General features: G+C 50.8%; 1 protein-coding gene across 38 annotated transcripts in view, besides 7 other annotated features; it reads left to right on the top strand.

The window, feature by feature from the left end:
• Positions 1-19,593, top strand: part of PLEKHA7 (pleckstrin homology domain containing A7) — a 237,118-nt gene extending 217,525 nt beyond the window's left edge. For 13 of the 38 annotated variants that reach the window (XM_047426431.1, XM_047426428.1, XM_047426427.1 and 10 more), the window contains 10 exons: positions 1,872-1,980; positions 2,176-2,402; positions 5,688-5,879; positions 5,975-6,092; positions 7,012-7,115; positions 7,594-7,794; positions 10,503-10,661; positions 13,057-13,190; positions 13,994-14,136; positions 15,838-15,948. In XM_047426431.1, coding sequence (XP_047282387.1) covers positions 1,872-1,980; positions 2,176-2,402; positions 5,688-5,879; positions 5,975-6,092; positions 7,012-7,115; positions 7,594-7,794; positions 10,503-10,661; positions 13,057-13,190; positions 13,994-14,136; positions 15,838-15,938 — 1,488 coding nt within the window. In that variant the 3' untranslated portion in view covers positions 15,939-15,948. Of the gene's footprint in view, positions 1-1,871; positions 1,981-2,175; positions 2,403-5,687; positions 5,880-5,974; positions 6,093-7,011; positions 7,116-7,593; positions 9,409-9,652; positions 10,424-10,502; positions 10,662-13,056; positions 13,191-13,993; positions 14,137-15,837; positions 15,949-17,869 lie in introns of those variants that run through there. The other 25 variants (NM_001329631.2, XM_017017242.3, XM_047426440.1 and 22 more) reach the window with 11 other exon arrangements.
• Positions 5,344-5,844: an enhancer, noted in NCBI's record as "H3K4me1 hESC enhancer chr11:16812593-16813093 (GRCh37/hg19 assembly coordinates)". NCBI's record gives its function as "activates a minimal SCP1, AML or CMV promoter by ChIP-STARR-seq in naive H9 embryonic stem cells {active_cell/tissue: H9 hESC(naive)}" and the evidence as "EXISTENCE:reporter gene assay evidence [ECO:0000049][PMID:30033119]".
• Positions 5,845-6,345: an enhancer, noted in NCBI's record as "H3K4me1 hESC enhancer chr11:16812092-16812592 (GRCh37/hg19 assembly coordinates)". NCBI's record gives its function as "activates a minimal SCP1, AML or CMV promoter by ChIP-STARR-seq in naive H9 embryonic stem cells {active_cell/tissue: H9 hESC(naive)}" and the evidence as "EXISTENCE:reporter gene assay evidence [ECO:0000049][PMID:30033119]".
• Positions 13,612-14,589: an enhancer, noted in NCBI's record as "H3K4me1 hESC enhancer chr11:16803848-16804825 (GRCh37/hg19 assembly coordinates)". NCBI's record gives its function as "activates a minimal SCP1, AML or CMV promoter by ChIP-STARR-seq in primed H9 embryonic stem cells {active_cell/tissue: H9 hESC(primed)}" and the evidence as "EXISTENCE:reporter gene assay evidence [ECO:0000049][PMID:30033119]".
• Positions 14,910-15,603: an enhancer, noted in NCBI's record as "H3K27ac-H3K4me1 hESC enhancer chr11:16802834-16803527 (GRCh37/hg19 assembly coordinates)". NCBI's record gives its function as "activates a minimal SCP1, AML or CMV promoter by ChIP-STARR-seq in primed H9 embryonic stem cells {active_cell/tissue: H9 hESC(primed)}" and the evidence as "EXISTENCE:reporter gene assay evidence [ECO:0000049][PMID:30033119]".
• Positions 15,604-16,298: an enhancer, noted in NCBI's record as "H3K27ac-H3K4me1 hESC enhancer chr11:16802139-16802833 (GRCh37/hg19 assembly coordinates)". NCBI's record gives its function as "activates a minimal SCP1, AML or CMV promoter by ChIP-STARR-seq in primed H9 embryonic stem cells {active_cell/tissue: H9 hESC(primed)}" and the evidence as "EXISTENCE:reporter gene assay evidence [ECO:0000049][PMID:30033119]".
• Positions 16,694-17,416: an enhancer, noted in NCBI's record as "NANOG-H3K4me1 hESC enhancer chr11:16801021-16801743 (GRCh37/hg19 assembly coordinates)". NCBI's record gives its function as "activates a minimal SCP1, AML or CMV promoter by ChIP-STARR-seq in naive H9 embryonic stem cells {active_cell/tissue: H9 hESC(naive)}" and the evidence as "EXISTENCE:reporter gene assay evidence [ECO:0000049][PMID:30033119]".
• Positions 17,417-18,140: an enhancer, noted in NCBI's record as "H3K4me1 hESC enhancer chr11:16800297-16801020 (GRCh37/hg19 assembly coordinates)". NCBI's record gives its function as "activates a minimal SCP1, AML or CMV promoter by ChIP-STARR-seq in naive H9 embryonic stem cells {active_cell/tissue: H9 hESC(naive)}" and the evidence as "EXISTENCE:reporter gene assay evidence [ECO:0000049][PMID:30033119]".
• Positions 19,594-24,109: the final 4,516 nt, after the last annotated feature.

The following is a 24,109-nucleotide window of genomic DNA, read 5'->3' as shown; positions in this document are numbered from 1 at the left end:
TCAAGACCATCCTGGGCAACATAACAAGACCCCTGTCTCTACAAAAACTGAAAAAGAAAAAGAAAAACTAGCCAGGCATGGTGGCATGCTCCGGTACTCCTAGCTACTTGGGAGGCCAAGGCGAGAGGATCACTTGAGCCCAGGAGTTTGAGGTTACGGTGACCTTGATCATACCACTGCACTTCAACCTGGGCAACAAAGTGACCCTATCTCAAATAAATAAGTAAATAAGTAAATTCACCCTTCTAAAGTATACGTTTCAGTGGTTTTTAGTATACTCACAGCATGATACAGCCGTCACCGCAATCAATTTTATAACACTTCATCATCCCCCAGTAGAAATCCTGTATCCATTAACAGTCACTCTCATTCCCCCAGCGTCCCCTCTGCCCTTGCCAAACACTAATCTACTTTCTGTTTCTACTGATTTGACTAGTCTGGACATTTCTTATAAATGGAATTATGTAATGTGTGGCTTTTTGTGACTGGCTTCTTTCCCTCACATGTTTTCAAGGATCATCCTTGTTGTAGCATGCATCAGCACTTCATTCCTTTTTATTGCCAACTAATATTCCATTCACTACTGTATTTTTAACTAAACCTCAAATATCGGGTTCAGCTGACTTTTTAAAAATGTTTTTTATATCCTAGAGATGGTGTAAACTCTAGTCCTTGCCTTCCCTTCTGTCATGATTACATAGGACAGTGCCTTTCAAAAAAACTGTGGTAAAGGCCAGGTGCAGTGGCTCACGCCTGTAATCCCAGTACTTTGGGAGGCCGAGGCAGGCAGATCATCTGAGGTCAGGAGTTCAAGACCAGCCTGGCCAATGTGGTGAAACCGCGTCTCTACTGAAAATACAAGAATTAGCCAGATGTGGTGGTGGGCGCCTGTAATTCAGCTACCTGGTTGGGAGGCTGAGGCAGGAGAAATGCTTGAACCTGGGAGGTGGAGGTTGCAGTGAGCCGAGATGGCGCCATTGTACTCTAGCCTGGGCAACAGGAGTGAAACTCCATCTCAAAAAAAAAAAAAAAAAAAAAGGAAAAAACTGTGGTAAAATACGTAGAACATAAATTTACCACCTTTATTATTATTATTTTGTTGAGACAGGGTCTCACTCTTTTGCCCAGGCTGGAGTGCAGTGATATGATCTCGGCTCACTGCAACCTCTGCCTCCCAGGTTCAAGCGATTCTCATGCCTCAGCCTCCCAAGTAGCTGGGATTACAGGCGCACACCACCATGCCTGGCTAATTTTTGTATTTATAGTAGAGATGGGGTTTCACATGTTGGCCAGGCTGGTCTCAAACTCTTGGCCTCAAGTGTTTACCTCCTTGGCCTCCCAAAGTGCGGGGATAACAGACAAGAGCCATTGCACCCGACTCATCTTGATTATTTTTAAGTATACAGTTCAGTGGTGTTAAGTACATTCACATTTTTGTGCGCCCAATCTCCAGAACTTTCTATCCTGTATAACTGAAACATTATACACATTAAATAGTTCTGCATTCTTCCCTCTCCCCCGCCCCCAGCAACCACTGTTGTACTTCCTGTCTCTACGAAATTGACTACTCTAAGTATGTCATACAGTATTTTAGCGGAATGGCACAGTGTTTACGGCAGTCTGTTTTTAAATTAGGTAGGCAAGCTGGACTGCTGAAAGCTACTCTGAAATTTCTCCCTGGATCGTGGGCATTTTCCTTGTCTATGCTTACCTAGAAAGCTATGAAGCAGGCTTGGTTCTAGCACTAGTGGGGTTTCCAGAGGGGATGCTGCCCCTCAGGGCGGGGGGCTCTGTCTGAAATGGTAGGATAAGTCCTAAGAAGAAACTTGTAAGGAGCTAAGAAGGCAAACCCACCACTTCGTCTTCCTCAGGAGAAATCGCAGATACAGAAAGATCTATGGAGAATTGAAGATGTCACTGCAGGCCTGAGTGCAAATAAAGAGAACTTCAGAATTCTAGTGGAGTCAGTAAAAAATCCGGGTGAGATGTTCATCTTCCTGGATGTGGGGGATCTGATTGGGGGCAGGGTGGTGGGAGGGTGGAAGGCTGGGAACCAGGTGGGTGGGATGGCCCTTGGGGAGGTTGAGTCTTCGAGGTGCTAAATTACTCCACTCATCCTCCAAGGAAGGGGGTCTTTGTTCCATCCCGTGCTTTGTTTCCTTCTATGCCCCTTAGAGAGAAAAACGGTGCCTTTGTTTCCTCACCCGCCTGTGCCTTCACTCTCAACTTCTGAGAGCAAGCCGCCCCCACAGCCCAGTCCTCCCACCAGCCCTGTGCGGACCCCTCTGGAGGTTCGACTCTTCCCCCAGCTGCAAACCTACGTGCCGTACCGACCTCACCCACCCCAGCTGAGGAAAGTGACATCCCCCCTTCAGTCACCAACTAAGGCGAAGCCCAAAGTTGTAAGTAGTGATAACTAGGAGCTGAATGCCATTGTTTCCTCTCTGTCCTCAGATTACCTTCTCCTGGGAGAGAAACTCCTGGGAAAACTTGGGGAAATGGACCCAGCCAGCGTCCTAAAGGAGTCCTTAGTCACAAGCAGTTAAAAAGTAGTATTTCCCTGCTATTGTGCCTTAGACTGTCAGAACTGGAAGAGCCCTGGAAGATGATCTAACCCAACTCTCCCATTTTGCAGTTGGGAAAACTGAGGCCCACCAAGAAGAAGTGAGCGTGCTGAGTAGGGTGGAGTTTGTGATCTGCAGAGAGGTGTGTGGCTGTGGACGAAGCTGTCCCCATGCAAACCTTTGTGCAAATCCGCAGGGGGCTCTCCTGCAGTTACACAGCCTGTGGGCAGTGAGTTCAGTCCAGTGGAAAAGTGTCCTTCCCTTCACCCGCCGCTGAGCACTGGGCTGGGTTGTGAGGATGCTTTGATCTTTAAAATAACCTCGCAGAGTATACACAGCAAGAGCAGTATCCCCATTCCACAGAGAAGAAAACTAAGAGCCTAAATTGTTGACATTTGCTCAATGTCTCCATGCTAACTAGTGAATCCAATCACATCTCCTGGCCCTTCTCTTTTATTCTGTGCCATCTGCCATCTAATTGGGCTTTCAGTCCCAGATCCGGTCTGTGGCCTCTGTGGCTGACTGGGCCAGCACCTTGGTTTGCCTGGCATAGAAAGGGGCCAAGCTCTTGGCAGAGTCTGGGAATGCAGGAGACTTTAAAGAAATAGGAGATGTGGTCAGGTCCCAAGAGAGCTCACGCCTCCAGGGCCAGGCCAGCCTTGGCTGGAGAACACAATGAGGCTGGTCCCAGTGCAGGGAAGCCATAGAAGAGTGGACCTCGGAATGGGGCCCTCCAGATTTTTGCCAACAAAGGCTTGGAGGAGACTTACCTGGGCATTGTGTGTGCCTGGACCTCTGATGAGGTCAGTGCACAGTGCTGGGTAAAACACATGAGTTCTGCTGCCCTGGTCTTCACCATCTACCTGCTTCCAGCCATAGTCCAGGGCCCAGAGCTGGACCCAGGATATGGCCCAGCACCCAGCCAGAGAGTCACTGTGGATTTCAGCATCTTGAGATCTCCTTCCCAATCCCAGATCCAAGAGGTGGACTGGAGCTCTAGCCCTAAAACAGGAGAGGGAAAATTCCAAAACAAACAGCAGGAATGTCTGGGGCAGATGGCTGCCAACATAGGGCAGAATGCTGCCAGCTGGGACAGGGCGTAGGGGAAAAAGGCACTGGCATAGGAGCTGGGACACCCAGATTCCGGGACTGATTCTCTCACTGTGTCCTCAGGCAAGTCCGTCCCTTCCCTGAGCCTCCTCATTTTCCCTTTTGTAGATGGTCACAGAGGCTCCTCCTCAGCTTGGTCATCTGTGGCTCTCAGGCAGGGCTTTCTCAGCTTGGGTGAGCATCAGGATCACCAGGAGAGGTCCTCTCTCCTAGGAATATATGTGTGTTTGCCAGTTTTACCATTTGTTTTATTACTTACTTGTTTTTAACACTTATAAGATGGGCGTGGTGCTGCTTGCCTGTCGTCCCAGCTACTGGGAAGGCTAAGGCAGGAGGATCATTTGAGCCCAGGAGTTTGAGGCTGCAGTGACCTGTGATTACACAACTGCACTCCAGCCTGGGCAATACAGCAAGACCCTGTCTCAAAACAAAATAAAACCCATTTATATTTGTGAAACAATAATATCCATCCTGAAAATGACATAAAACAGGATTATATAATTTAACAAATAACAATAAAGAGACCACCTGTTTTATACCAACAGCTAGACTAAGAAATAGAACACTGCCAGCAACCAGAAGCCTGTGGGTTCTTTCCCAGGCCAAGCTGCTTCCTGTCTGCCAGAAGTAACCACAATCTTGACTTTTTGGATAATAATCCCCTTGCCTTTTTTTTTTTTTTTAATTTTAGTACCTGTGTTGACTCCTAAACACTGTGATTATGCTGGTATATAATTCTATATACTATTTTGTGTCTTGCATCTTTTCTTCAACATTATGTTTGTGAGATTTATATACATTGTTGCATGTGGCTATAGTTCTTTTATTTTTATTTGACTTATTTTCTTGAGTTTAATGTCTTTTTAAAAATAAATTAGATAATATTCTCAAAAGATACAAAAGCAAAAGATATAAAAAAGTACATAATAACATGTCTCCTTCCCACCCTCTGCCTCCAGACATTCCATTCAATCAAAGGCAATCAATGTTTTATGTTTATCTTTCTGGGGAGCTTTTTAGAAATTGGTGATTCGGATATCTTGTCAGGATTGGAAACTGTGGATCCTCAGAGAACCAGTGCGTATCTTAGGCAGATGGCTTAACTTTCACACATCAGTGAAGATTGTTGATAAACCTTTGCTTTGGAGTGCTCTTTCCTGAACTTTCCAAGAGCTTGGAGTGCCCTTTCCTGAACTCTGCAAAATTCTTAAAAACAAAACCAAATTAGACCGAGAAAGAGGGAATTTAGGAGGTGGAAGGCATGATGGTCGTTAGTCCTGCGAGTGGGTGTTCATGGCAACCAGGGGCCGGTCTGTTGATATGTAGAGGAACCACAGCCCTCACAGAACACTGTGGACAGGGAGTTTCAAGGAAAATGTTGCATTCATCACATTCTAGGGAATGAACTGCATGGTAGGCAGTGAGTCACTCATCCTGACCGCCTGTTCTGTCTGAGTCAGGAAGGAGGAAATATTTTGTAACCATGCACATTTCTGATAGAAAGGCCAGGAGGATGTAGACTCTGTCCTTGTTCAGGTCCCCACCTTGCTGAAGGCGCCAGAGCTCGTGTAGGGCCAATGAGCCGGCTCAGGCTGAGCACTGCTGAGTGGGTAGATGTTACTCTCCAGGTAGGTGGTGCTGTGATAAGCATGGAAGTCAGGGCAGGGTTAGCAGCCTGCCTGCGATGTGCACTCCAGATGAGCGGAGGGAGCAGTTCAGCACAGCACCGAGGGCATGGACCCAGGAGACCTGAGTCCTGGGTTTCAGGACACAGTTATACAGGTAACACTTGGAGGAATAGAAACTGTATACCTCTGAGGGGATAGAGGAGCAGAGCATGTCCCTTCTTCACTGCTCCGCCAGGGGAAGTGTGAGTGCTCCTTGGCTGAGGCAGTCATGTTCTGTGGCTCTGATGTGGCCTGTTCCTACCCTTTAAACCTCCACTGTGGCAGTACCTAGCAGTCCTCCCTCCAGCTCCGTCTCGCTGACCACTGGTCTGGTTCTCTTTCTCAGCAGGAAGATGAAGCACCTCCCAGGCCCCCACTCCCCGAACTCTACAGCCCAGAGGACCAGCCCCCGGCTGTGCCGCCTCTGCCAAGAGAGGCCACCATCATCCGGCACACATCTGTGCGGGGCCTCAAGCGGCAGTCAGACGAGAGGAAGCGAGACCGGGAGCTGGGGCAGTGTGTGAATGGGGATTCCAGGGTGAGCGGGGGACCCTGGGGCTGCCACTCTACATGTGGGGAGAGGTAAAGGGGTGTGACACTGGCAGGTCACATCACCTGGGACTCTGCCCACAGGTGGAGCTGCGGTCGTATGTCAGTGAGCCTGAGCTGGCGACCCTCAGCGGGGACATGGCCCAGCCCTCCCTAGGACTTGTGGGCCCTGAGAGCAGGTACCAGACGCTGCCAGGCAGAGGTAAGGCAGGGCCCTCCCTGGAGTTTCTCTGGGAATCCCACCACACTGCTTCCAGCCTTCAGCTGGTGCCTCGTACCCTTCTGCCTGCAGCTCTAGGCCTAGGAGTGAGCAGCAGCTGTCAGGGGGGTCTGGGATGCCAAGAGGGAGGACCTGGCCTGTCTTCCTCTGGCCCACATCCTGATTCTCTTCCTCTTTTGTTACATCTGTCCCCAGGAACAATGATAATAGCAGTTACTAGAAAGCCTGGCACTGTTTAAGCACTTTATATAGACATGATATTCACAACAATCCTATGAGGAAAGTACTGTCATCCCCATTTTAGAGACACAGAAACTAAGGCCCAGAGAAATTAAATAACTTGCCAATTAGCTGGTCATTGGTGGAACCGGAAGACAATCCCAGTGCTCTGGCTCCAGAGTCACTGCACCCTGTAGGCCGGAGTGCTGGGTGGCTGCCACCACCTTGGCCATCTCAGACCTTCCAGAGTGCCACTCTAAGACTCAGTGAGCCCTTTCCTTAAATGCTTTCTTGCCAGTTGAGTGTCCTTCTCACTGTCCTCCTCACCCCAAGTTGGGTTGTGCAGGGTGCCTAAGAATGGATCAGGGGGTGAAAGGCATTCCTGCCCCGCCAGCCTTTCTACCTGCCAGGCAGCCCAGTCATCTGCATGTAAGGGAAGCCTGGGGTGGTCCACAGATCTGCAGGGACACTGCCCCCCATCAGGGACAAAGGTCACCCCTGGGCTGGCCCCCATCCTCTATTGGGGACCTTGCTCCTCCATGCCCTGGGGAGGAAGAAGAGAAATAAGGGTGGGTCATTGACTGGGTGCTCTTGGTACTCCTGCAAGAATGTGTGATGAGGGAGAAGCAGGGACCCATCCACCCCAGCACAAACATGCTTGCACTTCTCTTTCCTCACTAAGGGCTCTCAGGGTCCACGTCAAGGCTCCAGCAGTCGTCCACCATTGCTCCCTACGTCACACTCCGGAGGGGTCTCAATGCCGAAAGCAGCAAGGCGACCTTCCCTGTGAGTGGCCTTGAGCTGTCGAGGACCTCCCTGCTCCTTCACATGGGGAGGGAGGGTCTCCCAGGGGGACAGTAACTGGCCATCCCTTCAGCCCTGGGGATGGCCTCTGGGGTGGCCTCAGCCCCTCCTGAGCTCCCTGTCACCCACTGTCCACCAAGGAGGGCATCCTGCCTTTCTCTCTGGCCTGTCAGGGTGGCAGGAGGGAGCTCAAGAAGCCTGCACCCTGGGTTCTGGCCTCACTGGACAGGCCTGAGCCTAAGTGTCTGCATCTGCAGAATGGGTGCTACTCAGAAAGCTCCTGAGGGTTGGGGGCATCGTGTTGCTTAGAGGAAATAGTTCTCTAAGGCCAAGAGGAGCCCAACTAGAGTGTGCATGTGTGTGAGAGAGAGACAACGGGAATGCAGCCAGCAGGGTGGCTGTCCTCTGCGTGCCCAGCCCAGCTGTTCTGTGTCTCTCTTGCCTGCCTCCTCTTCCTCAGAGACCTAAGAGTGCCTTGGAGCGCCTGTACTCAGGGGATCACCAGCGAGGCAAGATGAGTGCAGAGGAGCAGCTGGAGCGCATGAAGCGACACCAGAAGGCCCTGGTCCGAGAGCGCAAGAGGACACTGGGCCAAGGGGAGAGGACGGGCCTGCCCTCATCTCGCTACCTCAGCCGGCCGCTCCCTGGAGATCTTGGCTCAGTATGTTAGGAGGGGCCAGGCAGCGGGGCAGGGACAGGGAGCCGAGTGCCCCTCAGAGTCCCCCAAACACAAGCACATCACACCTCCCAGTGAGAGAGCTGTCCATTGACCTACATGGTTCAGAGAACACCCCACGGGGCTGTTTGTCCACGACCCAGGCTGGACGAATGCCTGGTCAGAGGGTGACCTGAACCAGAGCTGGAGTGAGGATCAAACAGGCCCAGGAGCCTGAGGAAATACCCAGTCAGTCCTCCCAGCCGCGATGGAGAGGGGCCTTTGCAGGCGTTCGGAATCTCGGCTGAATTCAGGACCTGGGAATACAGGGTTCAGAGAGGAGAGGAGGAAGATGGTGACATGATTTGGTTAGAAGCACAAGCAAACTGATCAGCCTCCCAGACCTGCCAGCAGATGCTGTGTGAGGGTGATGGAGCACGGGGTCACACCCCTGCCCCAAGGGCCACTGGTCTCCCTGGGCTTGCAGTGCAGAGGCCTCAGGGTGTCTGGGATTGCTGGGGAGGCCTGTGCTGCCCCCTGGTGGCGCTTCCTGGCGCTGCGCCCTGTCCACAGTCACCTTAGGTCCCTTTGGAAACATTCCATTTGACTTTTCCCTGTTGTTTGAAATCCCATGTTTCCCTAAACCTCTAGCCTGATTGTTCTTTCCCTAATTCATTGCACAAGCTCCTTTGCTTTTAGTGTTACCGCTCATTGCCTCTCTAATCCTGCCTGATTGTGTTTACAGAAGCTTCTGATTTGCATTGAACATGCTCTAACTGGCCTGTGCTACTTATTACCGGGCTTGTAATAGCGGTTCTTGTCTCCATAGCCTGTTGAGTGTTCCCAGATGTGACTCACCTTTCTGCTGCCCTCTTCATGCAGGCCTACTGACTCATAATTCACTTGTCCCAAAAGCCACCCCACAAGCCTGAGCCAACCTGCTGCCTGACGCCACAGTCATTGGCAGAGGTCTGGGCATTATTAATTTATAAAAATCCATGCTTTACACCTGGACAGTAGACAGGGACTTCAGAGATTGCACGTTTGAATACATTCTCCCAAGACTGAGGTTGTTCGGTTTTAATTCCTGTAGTCCAATCACACAATTTCTTATGGAAAACCTTTTGTGTTTCTGGTATTTAATAACTTGAAGGGATAGCAAAATATACTGTGTATTCAGAGGGCCTCTCTGCAGCTGCTAGCTCAGACACCAAAGGGGTAAGGCCCAGGACATTCATATCTTTAAAAGCTGCAAACCTGGTAACCTTTAAACTTTTAAAACAAATGTCATATGGGGTAACACTGACCTTTTATAATTTGATGTCTCAAATGTAGAGATTATCTAAAAATCGTAACTTGAATACCTTGTAATTTTTCTCTTAAAAAAGAAGACTTGTGTAAGTCTCTGCATCAACGCCAATAAACATGTTGCTTAATAATAATGGATTGGCGTGGTTCTTCCCCAGGATACCTTATAGAGTCTAGTGAACTTTTCCTGTTTGTGGAAACAATCAGGCTGGGTTTAAATGAGGACTTGTCTCTATTTGGAGCATTTGTGAGCGTGTAAGGAAATGAGTGTTTTCTTTGTGAATCATTAAATTGATTTTTTCATCTTTGGAACTTCAGTTGCCTAATCCTTTCCAACAATAGTTGGAAACCATCACCTAAGAGTGATTACATTGATTTGGAGTCATTGAGAGCTTGTGCATGAATGGGTGAAATGTGCGAATATGGCTCTGGGTTTGGGGTTCTGGAGGGACTTGAGGCATCAAAGACAATCAGGACCATTTGGGGCTTTGAGGTGGATGGATGGGAGAGAGAAGATGGCCTGGGATAGATAAGCATCTGCTTTGGTTTTGCTCAGGGGAAGAGAGGCTTTGAGCCTGCTCTGTTCTCAACAACCTGCTCAGCGGTCAAAGGCCTGTGAGGATGCAGGTCCTGGGTCAACAGGAAGTCACCACGGAGCTGGACAGTCATGGTTGGATCTTATCGGTTAGATTTTCCCTCTTGGGAAGCTTGTTACAAAGTTGATACTGTGAAACAGCCTTAGAAACATTCCATTTGATTTAGCATTTCAATTTTATATGATTTAGTTTTTTTTTCTAATTTAAAGAAAACATCTATCTCAAATAGATGGGTCTCATACAGCAGTTTTTCTGCCTCATTGGCTCCAAGCTGCTTTTGCTTGTACCTCCCCAGCCCTACTGTAAGTGCGAGATCCCCCACCTACGAATGTTATCTTGTTGAAAATTCCCAATAGAAAGATCCTTGGTTATTCTTCTTGCTTAGCAGGGCCTTGAAGGGCGTGTTTTTCCATTAATTCTGAGCCTGGGACGTATGTCTCCTGAACCAGCTGTAGAGAGTGGAAGGGACAAATCCCTTCTCTAGAACTCTGTCCCAAGTTGTTTGGAGGTCACCCTCTCTGGGAGCCTTCTATTTCCCTGGGGACCACTGTGAGCCTGAAGTCATGAGTCTTAGACCTGTGCCCCAAGGGTGTATGTTTGAAACCTCTGGGAACCCAGATCAGAGAGCACTTAGCAGTCTGGAACAGCCCATATGAAGGGGACAGCAGCTTCATTCTCTATTGCACATACAGCTTTTCCCTAAGGGGATCACAGGTTCATCTTCCAAAGGACCCCATGGAAAAAGGTGACCAGCCGGGCTCTTTCAGCAATCAGGAAGCGACTACGTTTAACCTCTTGTTCTGTTGCCAGTGGAAGCGTGAGCAGGACTTTGACCTGCAGTTGCTGGAACGGGTCGTGCAAGGGGAAAAAAAGGACAAGGAGGAGAATGGCTGGTTGAAAGTGCAGGCCATGCCTGTCACTGAGTTGGACCTGGAGCCTCAAGACTATGACTTGGACATCAGCAGAGAGGTGAGGGCAGGCACTTCCTTCATGTCCTCCAGGAGACATGGCCTTCAAGTTCCCAGCCTGATCCACCTTCCCACTGTGGGGTATCATCCTGAACAGGGACATGGCTCAGCTTCAGTGTGGCCTAGGAGGATGGATGGATAGCAGCTTAAGGCAATGAAAGGAGGCCAGATGTTTCGATGAAGGTTCAAAACTCTCTGTAATTTAGGGCAAATTGCAATTTTAGCTTCTCTGTGCTTCAGTTTCCTCAACAGTGAAGTGGGTTGTGAAGAGGATTAAGTAACTGCACATGTTCTTGGGAGGTTTAGCGATCAAAGCCACATAGTAGGCACGTGAGCAGCAGTTGTTATTGTTAGGAAATGTTCCCTGCAACACCAGGGGTTGGCTTTTCAACTGGCTGGTGAGGCCAACTTGGGCAGTCTGACTAGGGGAAAATGGGGGGCAGGTTTGAAAATCACAGGCGAAATTTCCAGCCATGGTAGAAGCTAGGAGACAGTGCAGAGTTCTGGTCTGAATTCTTCTGGTGCCCTCTGGTGGCTCACATGCATCATGACAGGGCAGGCCCAGGAGAGCAAGTAACTCCTGGATCTCTACCCATCAGGAAATGTCTCTACCCAAGGGGAGAGAAAGGGAACTCGGGATGACACACTCAGTGTCTTCAAGACGTAGATTGTCTCCTGTGGCCTATGTCGATGCTATTCCTAAGCTCTTCAGGGCAGCGTCTATGGCTGCTTGGTTCACCTTTGTATCCCTAGTCCCTGGCACAGGGCCTGGCACACAGTGGGTACGTGGTACATCTTTGCTGCATCTTTGACTGTGTTGAATGAATCACACAGTGACCCATAAATGTACCAAAAGCATTTGTACAAGGACTTGGCCTGCCTGGAAACTGCACAAGAGGAAATGTTCTCACCACATGAAGGATGGATCGAGGCGAGACCTCAATAAAACTTTCCCCCAGGTCTGTGTGATAGGAGAGTGAGAACTGAGGAGGACCTGTGTCTTCCAGAGCCTTCCTGCTGTCTTAAGAGGTGGTGCCAGGCCCATTCACAAGCTGATTTGCCAATGGTATCTACCTGACTCAGTATGTTAGGGGTTCCTCTGGTCTTTGGGAACAAAGGAACAGTGTGTGGATAAGATAGATGCCTGTACAGTTGTTGAGTTTTGGGGTCTGCTGGGGCTCTAGGAGTTAACAAGGCTGGTCCCCTGCCCCAAGACCTTGTTCCTTTGCCATCTGAAACAGCCAAAGGTCTGTGCGTTCTCAGATTCACAAAAGAAGCCCCAACATGCTGCCTTGGCAGGGGAAGTGTGTTCTGTAGTGTCCTGATTGCCTGCCAGCCCAGGGAAAAAGTTCTTCCTTATCTCTAACCTAAATTCCTCCTGCTACAATGTAATCTGCTTCCTTCCTCTAAATCTGTCCTCATTGGAGTAACAGAGAAGAGCTTATTTCTTGCCATCTCCAACAGAGTGAAAGGGCTGCGTGTGGGTTTAAATCCATGACCTGATTTGCCCTGGGATTGGATTAAGCTTGTTTTTAGGAGCTTCAACCCACCCCATTTTAGTGTGCTTTTGTAATTCAGGGAGGAAAAAGTTCCTGGAGCATGCAGAAGCTTCCTTTCGTGTTCTTAGTCCAAGCAAGGTTTCACCAAGCCGAGTTTGCCACTAGGTCCACGGGAGATGCTGGTGAGGTGAAATTTGGGGCCATTTTCCTCTGGCCAGCAGTAGATTCAGCATAGCTGCCTCCTGTCTAGATCAGAAGAGCTTTTTTAGGGACAGAAAGCACCATCACATCCTTTCATTCACCCACCTGTCAATCATCCATTTATCCATTATCCATCCATTCAGGGAGAATTAGTTGGAGGGCTACTAAGTACTAAGTCCCTGCATTAGACAGAGGGAGACAATGGTGAATGGAAAGTGAGGGGGTGGAGGGGATCAGAGAAGGATCCTCAAAGTGAGGTTGAAAAGATGAGAGTCAAGGGAACAAAAGGAAGAGCTTCCCAGACAGAACAGAGGCCCCACTGTGGGCGGGGAACTGGAGGGACTGGTTGATCAGTGGCTGGAGAGGTCATCAGGGGTCAGATCACTTAGGGCCTTGACGGTGGCATTAAGGATGATCATTTTTTATCCTGAGAGCTTGTAGTCTAGTTATTTCGCCCTTCCCTTCCCCCAGCCTGTAGGAGGTTGGCTGGTGGAGTGGAAGGAACATGAGCTTTGGAGTCGGACTCAGGTTCAAACCTGGATTCCACAACTGACTAATTTTGTGATCTTAGCAAGTTACTTAGTCTCTGTGGACTCTGCTTGCTTCCCATGGTGGGAGGGGACAGAGGTGGGGAAAGCGAGTCCTAAACCCAGACATCTGAGCCTCTCCCTCTGCCACCTCCTGGCCTCTCCCCAGCTGTCCAAACCAGAGAAGGTGTCAATCCCTGAGCGCTACGTGGAGCTAGATCCCGAAGAGCCACCCAGCCTTGAGGAGCTGCAGGCGCGGTACCGCAAAGCCGAGAAGATCCGCAACATCCTCGCCCGGTCAAGGTCAGCCCTCGCTTGCTCAAGTGTTGGCAGGTCACCCTGACCCCAGGTGGCGTCTCTACCATGTGGGCCCTGGGCCGGGCTGGCTGGGGTGCGTGTTTTGCCAGGTCTTCGTCTCAGGTAAGCCCTACTCATTGGAGGGGGCAGGCTGGTACATCGCCAGCAGATCAGCAAGGGAGCCTGCCTGGGTCATCTGGAAAGACCTGCAACATTCGTAGAGGCTTCTTGTCCTGGGCTGTCACCCCCAATTCTGTGTCCCAAGTGACCCTAGCAAGTGTGGAGAATGGAGCCAAGCGTGGCCGTGAAGTGGACCCCGTTGGAGATCAGCTCCAGTGATGGCCTGCCAGCATTCGGGCCTGTGCACCCTCATGCAGACCAGCGGATCAGAGCCAAGGGTGCCAGCCTTGTCCGTAGGGCACCAGAGGCATTGCCCACTCCCCTGGATGCTGGCCTGGGGTCCTCTGAAGTGACTTTACTGTCCCCTAAGCCTCAATAGCTTCAGAAATTTAATCTTGTTTGTAAGCCTCCCTTTCAGAGCTGGCTTAGCCATCTCATGTCTGAATTTAATAAGAGCCTCCAGCTAGAGCCGTGAACTTAAGGTCTGTGGCCTTCCCAAAGGAGGAACAAAGCTGGGACCGTTTGGGTGTTTGGGGAAAAGCATGTACCTTTGTCTAGGGAGAAAGTACCACAGTTTTTGTCTGATCCCCCTCAAAATGTTGAGAACCTCTAGGCCAGGGAGACCCTCCACTCCTGAGGCTGCTACCCAGGGCAGGAGGGCCCATGGTCTGCTTCCGACCCTCCTACAGCATGTGCAACCTACAGCCGACCTCAGGCCAGGACCAGAACAGTGTGGCTGACCTGGACTTGCAGCTGCAGGAGCAGGAGCGCATCATCAACATCTCCTACGCCCTGGCCTCCGAGGCCTCCCAGCGTAGCAAGCAGGTGGCAGGTAAGGCCATGGCCCAGCCCCCAAGGCCTGGATCCTGCCCCACTGCACCTGTGGGCTTGGGCCCAGCATGGCCTGTTCCAGAGCCAGTGGAAAACCAGGTGTCAAGGATGGTAGTTGAGGGTCAGTGGTGTGTTCCCCTGACCACTCGGCATCCTGTCCCATGAGCACAGCAGGACTTGGAAGGGAAGGTGGAGCAGGCCACACAGTGGAGGAGACCAAGGGGGCCCAGAAGCTCAGAAGTGTCTGGGGAAAAAGGTCCCAGGAGGAGTGGTGCTGCTACCCCACTTCCTCTGAGACTATGAGCTAAGAACAGGTTTTTCAAGGTGCTGAGCCAAGGGGCCAAGGTTTCTGACCTCATGAAGAAGGGGGCAGGAAAGTGGTTGATGCTTGGATTTCTTGCTGGGGCAAGGCAGAAGGGGGCCCCTCCTGCCTTCCCTGGCCCCCTGCCTTCGTCTCTAAACTAAAGCCAGTGTTCACCTCATCACAGTGTACTGTGCCAGAAAGTACAGGACTTGGAAAGTGGGACTTTGCAGTCCAATTGGAAAAAAATAACACCATGGGATGAGAACGTGTGTGTGTGGGTGTGTGTGTGTCCGTGTGTCTCAATGTGTGTCTATGTGTGTGTGTATGTGTGTCTGTGTGTCTGTGTGTGTGTGACTGTGTGTATGTGTGTGTGTCTGTGTATAAAAGGGCTGCTCTTTCTCTCAGCCAGGAAGGAGACCGCAGGCTCCTCCTTCCACTCACAGCTCACCTGCTTGTGTGTGCCTTGTGCCTTCACAATTCACCCAGTACCATTTCTCCCCCAGTGCAGAGGCCACTGTGTGTCTGGGTGGTGCTCCTGGCCAGGTGTGCTTCTTCTGGGGAGGGAACAGCCATAGAGCCTGAAGTGGTGTCATGGCCCCTACCAATTCTCCAACCCTGGCCAAAGTGTCTAGAAGTAGCCAAGGATGTGGCCGGCAGGGTCCTCAGATGCCTGGGCCTGGGGAGTCTTGTCTGGAGATCAGAGCTTTGCTGTGGCCCCAGAGGGCCATGAGAGTGACTGGCAACAAGGGGAGGGGCCATAGTCTTAGTCAAAACCTGTTCTCTGTCCCCCACAGCCTGATCCTGCACAGAGTCCTTGAAATCTTGGCTGTCCTCTGTCCCTTCGAGCACATGCTGAATGGGCTGAGAGGTGGCCGGTGTGGTGTTCTGGGATTAGGGATGCAGGAGATGGCTCATCCAGACCTCTCCTTCTCATGACCCAGGGGTTCATCTTAGCAGCTTTTGAGCTTCTCCTGGGGAGGGTTCGAGCAGGGGCGGCTCCCCCACCATACCATGCCCTCCTCTCGCCTTGCTTGCTCTAACCCTGAGGGGGTCTGCCATCCTCGGCCTCCTTATTGCCAGCAGATGAGCGCTCCCAGCCCTAACATGCTGCGGCCAGTTCCCAGGGCCTTTCTTCCTCCCTACTCAGGGATGATCTTTGCTGCGGCCTTTCCTCACTCTTGATGCCTCTCTCCATCTCAGAAACATATCCAGGAACTGCAGCCTGACCCATCCGGTTCCCCACCAGGCCCCGTGGATCTGTCCCTCACCCTCAAGCCCAGGCCCTTCGTGGTGGGCAGCAGGGCCCATGCCACCCCAGCCTGCCAAATGGGGCATCTGGTGCTGCAGGAGCTGATGAGGAGTCTAACACACCGCTTAATTCCTGTGTGCCCCATCTAGCACAGCAGCTGGCCCTCCTCCCGCCTAAAGGCCCCCTGTCTTCCAGGACGGTGCCACCTTACCCCCCTTTTACCAACGGACTCCACTACACCTTTGTCTAACACCTTCCAAGTAAGAGCCCCTGTCTGGTGTGCTTCTGCCTGCTTCCTGCACCTCCCTAGCGCTGAGCCCCTCACCTCCCTGCTGTGCTGAGGTGATTGCAGTGCCACCTGCTGATGCCTCCTTCCACTGGCAAAGCGGCCGCTGGCGGGACTGTTCTGACTGGTAGGCAGGTGGGAAAGTGATGCTTTTTAGGAACTCAATCCTCAGTGGCTCTAATACGATAGGGACTGAGCAATCCACCCTGCTGCCTCCATGAAATCTCTAGAACCGGAACTGTGCCCCCATCCCCTGCTCTCCTCAGTAGGGCACCCTGATGCCCGAGAACCAGTGCAGACCACACTGCCAGCCTTGGGGGGCTGGAAAGGAAGAGTTAGATCTTGGCCTTTCAGGGCTTTGGCCAAAGAAATTGAAGAACTGTAAGATTGGGAAAAGTCCAGTTCTACAGATGAGGAAACTGAGGCCCAGTGAGGGGCTGGGGCTCACTCCAGGTCACAAAGAATTGGTGTCAGCGCAGAGACTGGGACTGCCCTTTTGGTCACTGGGCACTTTAAGAGGGAGAGAAAGGGAAGCCCAGGGCAATGTGAAATTGGCCCTCAGCCAGGCAGAAAGCTCTGGCACCAACCCTACCAAGTTCTCCCCATGTGGGCATCTAGTGATGAGAGGCAGTGTGGGATGAGGAGGGAGCCCTGAAACAGGAGGCTGGCATCTGGTCCAGTCTCAAGTGAGTTCTTGGCCTGGGCCTGTTGCTTTTGAGCCCAGCGGTTCACCTGGACAGGGGAAGGTCAGACTACCAGTCTGGGCAGTCCTTACCCTGACATCCCATCCCACTATCATTTTGCAGGGCTTTCCCCTCTCCTTCCTTTACGTATACTTGTGGTTAACATTGTTGAGTGCCTGCTGTGTGCCAGGCATTGTGCTAAGTATCTCTTTCGATCCACACAACAACCCTATGAAGATATTCCCCCCCCCCTCCCCGTTTTAGAGATGAAAAAACAAAAGCTCAGAGGCCTTGAGGGATATGCGCAAGGAATCGCAGCTTGTTAAGTGCTGGGGTTTGAACCCCTTTGATGTGAGTTCAGAGCCTTTGTTCCCCATCACCACTCATGGGTTCATCTGGGCCGCCCCGAGCAGCTCTAGGTGTTTGGAGAAAGAAGTGAAAGGAGGGAGAGAGTATTTGTGCTGCAGGGAGCGAAGCATGATTTTTTGGCAGGTGTCTATCCTGGGTGCTCCCCGTGCCTCACAGCAGAGTCAGCAGGTCCCCGCCAGCCTGAGCATGAGAGGAAGAGGTCAGCCTCCTTGGGCCAGGCTCTGAGGAGGTGTGGAGTAGAGGCCCCGTGGTTGAGGAGCCATAGGGAAGTGCTCTAGCCACGCCCATTGTGAAGGCCACATTTGAGGGTGTGGCTTTCTCCTAGAGATCTGAGCACAGTAACAGCGCTCAGTCACAGAGAGGCAGGAGAGAGGTTCTGTTCCTCCTGGGTTTTGGTGCCCCCATGGCTGTAAGATTGGCCTATTATACTCTTTGGAGTACTGCATTTCTTCTTACTCTCAAAGCATCCTTGTTAAGAAGTGGGTATGACCACCATGTTTTTTAGGTTAGAAAAACAAGGCCCACAGAGGCCAAGAGCGCTACCCACATTGAAAGAATGAAGGGCAGGGCCAGACTGCACCTTTATTAGAGTCTTTGCCCTGTCGGGATGGGGACCCAATTTAGGGGCCAGCATGTGTCTAGCAGTGGAATAGGGGTGCAGGGAGGGTGGGGCAAGAGCCCCATGTGTCCTGGAAGCTGAGGGTCCCCCAGCAGCGGCCGCATTGCCAGAGCCCCCTGCTCTGCTGCTCTGCCTGTCCGCCTATCTGCCATTCCATCATGTGTGTGCAGACGTGCCTGCTCCCTGGATGCCAGCCTCTCACTGTCTCCTGTGCTTTTTGCCAGCCCAGGCAGTGACTGACCCGTGACCCAGCATGCAAAGAAGCCTGGAGCCAGGGGCCCAGTGGAACCAGCTTCCTCCAAGGAGATGACCTTTCTGCCCCCAAGGAAACCCCTTCCAGCTGAGCAGGGAATCCGGCCGGAGGAAGGAGCAGCTTACCGACTGCGGGTGTTCACCACAGGCCAGGCCCTAATATGCACCCACTAGTTTAGCTCAGACTCCTCTCTACATATGAATGGCAAAGGCACTTTTGATATACACTGTAAAATACACTGTATTTTAGAATCGGAATCTATTTTCTAATGTTCCCCTCAAGGGCTGAGTGGCAGGAAGGTTGAGGATGCAGGACTTTGCAGCTGCACGTACAGATTCAGGTACTTCTGGGTGACAGGTGTTGTGGGGGCAGGAAGGGCGGGGCAAGCCGAGGCTAGTCCAACTTCCAATGACCTCAGGAGAAAGTGAGATTTAAAGAGGTGTTCCCAGTAGACTCCAGCAAGAGGCTGGTTGGCGTGCTGTCTGGGAGAAGAGGGGCCCTTGGCTGCAGAGATCAGCTGTCCCTGACCTGATGACCAGCTCTGTGTGAAACTCCACGAGGATCACACGTGGAGCCCAAGTCTGTGCCTTGCCCCTTGGGTTTGGCTTAGGGGCAACAGTGTGTTCAAGAGGACTGGGGCCCACAACCTGCCCCCAGGCTTCCTCCAGCAAAAGGCTCTTGTCAGAAAGAAAAAAGCAGTTTGCTATCTTTTTTTTTTTTTGAGATGGAGTTTCACTCTTGTTGCCCAGGCTGGAGTGCAATGGCACGATCTCGGTTCACTGCAACCTCTGCCTCCTGGGTTCAAGTGATTCTCCTGCCTCAGCCTCCCAAGTAGCTAGGATTACAGGCATGTGCCACCACGCCCGGCTAATTTTGTATTTTTAGTAGAGACGGGGGTTTCTTCATGTTGGTGAGGTTGGTCTCGAACTCCTGACCTCAGGTGATTCATCCGCTTCAGCATCCCAAAGTGTTGGGATTACAGCCGTGAGCCACCACGCCCAGCCTGCTTTCATTTTTAACAGTACACATTGAAATACAGAAAAGGTGAGAGGAAGCAACTTTCATTGTATCGTAGCAATAAACTCCACACTGGGTGACATCTACCTAGAAATCCCTTCCCTCTAACCAGGCCATGATGGGAACCTTTGCTGCCTGCCCTTGGAGAACCCCGGATTGGCTTCCCTGGGACTCAGGTCTGGTGGCAGGAGGGCAGCAGTGTGCCCCCACCATCCCTCATGGCCTGCCGCCAGCAGGGCCATAATGGCAGGACTTTGATTTGACTTCCAGCCCCACATGAGGAGGGGGGCTACCAAGCCAGGTGCAGTGTTTGTGGCCCTTTATTTAAGTTGTTTTCTTATATTATTCTGCATATAAACAATGACGTTTAAATGGAAAAAACAACAACAACGAAAACCTCCATTGGGTGGAGCCACACTTTAAATGAAAATTTCTCTTTGACTATGCTCAGAAAAAAAAATAGAATTTTGAATATATCTAGCAGTTGTTGTCTATTTTTAACTAACTCCATATGCTGCCAGTATCGACTTCATGACATTTGCCAAAATAAAATTTTATTTTTGCCTTTATAAGATTTTCTTGGAAAAAATGAAATGAATATTTTGCAAGAAAAAGTTAATTTAAAAATGTAATGGTTTGCAAAAAAAATGTGATGTACAGATTAAAATATTAACCTGATACGTTTCCTGTTTCTTGCTGGCTATAGTCTCTGGTGAGTGGCCTGTGTACGTTTGTTTCCATTTCTTTGGAAAATCCCCACTGTCAGCTCTCGGCCCTGCTTCTATTTACCTATGAAAAGTTTCTTCTGGTGACGATTCCTTGACATTTGATTGACTGTAGAGGCCTGGATTGAGGAGGCCTGTGCTTCTGGGCCCCTGGCTAGGCTTCCACAGTTGCTCAAGGCAACCCCCTACCCCATCCCAGTCAAAGAGCCACCAGGCTGTGGACTCCCTTGTGGGGCTGGTTTGTCAGACAGACTGCAGTCCAATTCAAGACAGCGCAGGGAACGCTGTGGGCCCCCTTCCAACCCACATGCTGCCGGCTCGCTCCTGGGAGGCAGCTTAGTGACGGACCATTGCAAACTGGATTTGTATTTAATTCATTTTGACTTGTGATGTATGCTCACAACAGAAGGCAAGAAGCCAGTTCCATTGAGGGGTGTGTATATTTCTGAGCTGTGGTTACGGCAGTTTTTCTCTACTGCCAAGAAGAGCATCCGAGGTTCATGGTGACTTTCCAACTATTTAAACTGGGGAAAGTAGATTCCAAGGCATTCCGAACAGGGGGTACTGCTGCTTTTTTAGCTACTGAACTCTTTAATTTTAAAATAAAATGTACTCTTTGGTTTTAAACATTACTTGGAGATGTCACCATAACAGATGAAGGGGGGTGGTGGTGGTGGTGAGAATGATTTCATAACTGAGTACAAAGCCCCTCAAACCAAAAAAGAAACCACACAGGGGATAATACCCACCCCACAGGGTGGCCATCTGCAGACATTTTCTCAGTGAAAACATGCCAGTGGGTTTATTTTTTATTTATTTATTTATGTATTTATTTATTTACTGTTGGTCTCACTTTCTGTCTCACACATGCAATCCTGTGTAAGAGGGAATGTGGAACCCACTACCTTGCTGCTCTTTTTAGATTGTGCTGTCAGGGAGGAGGGGTAGCCTGTTCTATAGGAATTGAGGCCCAGATTTCAATCTACAGAGTGAGTGAGTGACTGTGTGACAGGCCCTCAACTCGGAGTCGACGGAGACTACCATGGTCAGAAAAGGCACACTCCAGCTCCATCCTGCGTAGGCAGGTGACGTGGCCCAGCCTTGAGAGCACTCTCATTACCTGAGGTAAGATGGGGCCACCTGTGATGGTGCTGGCTGGCTGGTGACACTACAGGGTGGGGAGGACTCCAGGGAATGCCATGTGGCCCCGTGATTCCAACTTCCCTTCCAGGAGACCCCAGGGCCTTAAACGAGATTGCAGTTGACGAAGGGGATGTGAGCACACTTCTACATCCGTTTGCTGGTGTCCACTCCTCAATTCTGACTTTAACGCAGGTCCAGGTTGAGCCCCGGATATCTAGTTTTAGCAAGAACGAACAAGAACATTTTAGGATCTAGTATGAAACGGGTTAGGAATAACATCTTTTCCTAATGCCTTCTTGAACCTCCTGAACTGCCAAGATTCTCAACATGTTCAGAACGTCGTTCAGATGATTACAATCATATGTAGGATTTGTGAGTCCATATGAAGTAGACATGCCCAGACTAGTGTAGACGATGAAAACAAGCATTTTGTTTTCTCCATCATTCACTTTCCTGCCTGCCTTGGTGTCTGTGGGAGTGTAAGCTGCAGCTAGCCCCTCCCTCTCTCTCTAACCCCTGGGCTGCCTTCAGGTCAGCTGGGTTCTCTAGAATTTTCCTGGTTATTTTAGGTTGCAGGGCATGGCCAGGGAATCATCTCTCTGCCCACAGTTTCATTCCAGGGACCTGAAGGGATGGGGGTGGGGTGGAGCAGAACCTGGCTCAGGCTCAGCCAGACAGGAGCCCATTTTGGGCTTTGGGAATTTCCCACAAGGACAGCGGAGGACTCCCTGGCAAGTCCTTTTGTGTTCTTACCAAGGGTGGGAAAGAAGAATCAAATTATTTGTATAATCCCCATATCACATTTCTGAGATGTGGCGGACAAATGCTGGGAGCCCTCTGCTTCCGACTCAGCATCAGACGCTGGGGTGTGCAAGGGACTTTGCCCATGTGGGTTGTGCACTGTTATGAAAAGAACAAAGAGACCTGACTGGGGAAGACATGAAAAATGGCAGAGCCCCTCCCGGCCCAGTAAACACGCCATGGCTTTGCCACCTCCGCTCAAAAGGCTACCACTTTCATTGCTCTCCTAGCAAAGAAACCTTTCTTCAGAGCGAGTGGCGGGGTACAAAGGCAGAGTACAAAATGTGCGCACATCACAGTCCCTGCAATTCTGTTTGAACAAGCGTATTGATTGGGTCTGACCCTGTTACATTTTTTCCCTATTATTTGAAAAGGTGCATCTAAGTGTAGTGAATTGAACCAGTGGAGCTGAACTTTCCATGAAAACTTCTCAAGGTATTTCTTTAGTTCAAAGCTTTTGAATTTTAAAGGGCATTTTTAATATGAGTCTGTTGAGTATTCTCTGCCACAGCCCAACAAGGGATGTTAAATGCAGATGAGGTTGGAGCAGGGTGAGGAAGGGAGCGGACCTGCAGGGGAGGGTGTCGACCAGCCCAGGAAGGTCTGGGTTTTGGGAAGAAAGGCTCAGCCCCATGCTCTGGAGCAGCTCATGCAGACCCTAAAAGGGACCTCTCTGAGCACAAGGGCAACTGCTTAGCGACAGGGAAGAGGCTTCACAGCTTAACTTGAAGACTTGAACTGAGAGAGCCAGGAAGCACTTGCTGAGGGCTCCTCCAAAGGAAGAGGGTTTTGTCCTCATGCATAAGGGTCTCCTTGCTGTTTACTTTCTCTCACACTTGGCCCTAGAGCTGGGAAGGAACGCGGGAGGCTGAGTCCCTTGGCTGAGCTCGCAGTCAGATAGGAAGCTGCTGTAATTGTCTGCAGTCACCTACATCCTCCAGCCCTCGGGTGGACCTCACTGATGAGTTGCAGATGCTTTCCCACTGAGCCCTGAGCTACATCTCAATCCTTAACTGATTTAATATCTTTGGATTTGGATGTGTTGCTGGTTGTGTGGGCCATGACAGCAGTTCCTTTCGCCATCCTGGCCCAGGACCCTGGAACTGTCCACCAAGTCTCACTCTCCCCACATGGAAGGAGGCTCTCTTTGGGGCACTGAGGGTGCTCAGCTCCTTTTGACTGAGCTCCTGGCTCATGCTAGTCTGAGTCTCTTTTGCCCCTTGAGGCCTCTTGGGCCTGGAAAGCACCTCCTTCCTAGACCCAGAATTCGGGTTCAGAGGCAGAATCATCCCTAGGAGGAGCTGGAAAGTCAGGTCCTGCACCAAGAGAACCCAGGGCTTGGACATCCCAGCAAAGTCCTTTCAGGGTCTTTGCCAAATCTCCAGCTTCGAAGACAGTGGCCCGGAGGAGCACAATAGGGTCAGAATCACAGTGAAAAGCGGTAGTTCTCTGGGTCCCTCTCTGCCCACAACTGTGGGAACATCAGCACCCCCCCCCACCCCCAGAGTCCTCTTACCTTGTTCTGGGAGCCCCCAGAGGTGTTCCATGTATGCTCTGAAATCCATTTTCTTGGCTGTCACTTTCAGGACGTTCTGCTGTTACCTGTGTTTCTTGGGGCCACACTAGCTGTTAGGCAAAATAAGTTCCCAGTGACAGTAGTAACTCAGATTTCATGGCCTCTGCCTCCTGCTGCTCACCACAGGAGTCTTCTGCTGTTGTCTCACCTGGTCATTCCCAGGAGCCCCCAGACTTTCCTCACGTGAACTCACAACTGTCCTCTCAAGTTTAAGTTCTTCCACTTGCAGCTACTTGATACCTACTGGCCATGAAGCCTGGAACAGGCTGGCTCTGCCACTGGGGATATGCTAGTCTTGCTTACTACTTGGGCCAAAGTGTGCCCTGGGCATCAGCAGGTCCCAATAATGGCCACTCATGCTTATAATTTAAGGTCTCAAGCATTAACTAATTTAGAGGAAAACTTGCTCACCAAAAGGTGATAGTCTCCTTGTAAACTGGCAATTGCTTAGAGCACAAGCCTCACAAGGTGCAATGGTTTCCATGACCCTTACCAACAAGAGAACTTCTGCAAGGCAGTATCTGCTCCCATACACCTTGTTTTGGTAGCCAGCCTGTGGGCTTCTCCAAGGCTTTCTTTTGCTCAGTGCCCAGCTTATCACAGATGCTGACTGCTCGGGAAGGTGAGGTTGGAGGGACCAGGTGGGCTGTGGTGTCTACCTCTGCCTCCCACTTACCCACTTCTCACTATTCTAGGAGAGCTGGCCCTGGGGCAACAAGGCAGAAACCCAGGGAAGGTTCTGATAGATTGAACACGTGTGAGCGTATAATGGACATGCTGAGCTTGGCACTGGGTTGGGGGGAGGGTGCAGAGTGTGGGAGTGACAATCGTGGTTACACTCCAGCACCTCTTCCACCTCCCAGGAACTTGCCCACCACTGATGAATCTAGCCCATACCTGAAGCTCCACTAACCTCAAGTCGGAATCATTTTTCAGGTGGTTATTTTGG

Source organism: Homo sapiens, chromosome 11, assembly GCF_000001405.40.
Source record: "Homo sapiens chromosome 11, GRCh38.p14 Primary Assembly".
Taxonomy (NCBI): domain Eukaryota; kingdom Metazoa; phylum Chordata; class Mammalia; order Primates; family Hominidae; genus Homo; species Homo sapiens.
The sequence above is the reverse complement of the archived record's forward strand: the minus strand, read 5'-3'. Positions and strand labels throughout refer to the sequence as shown.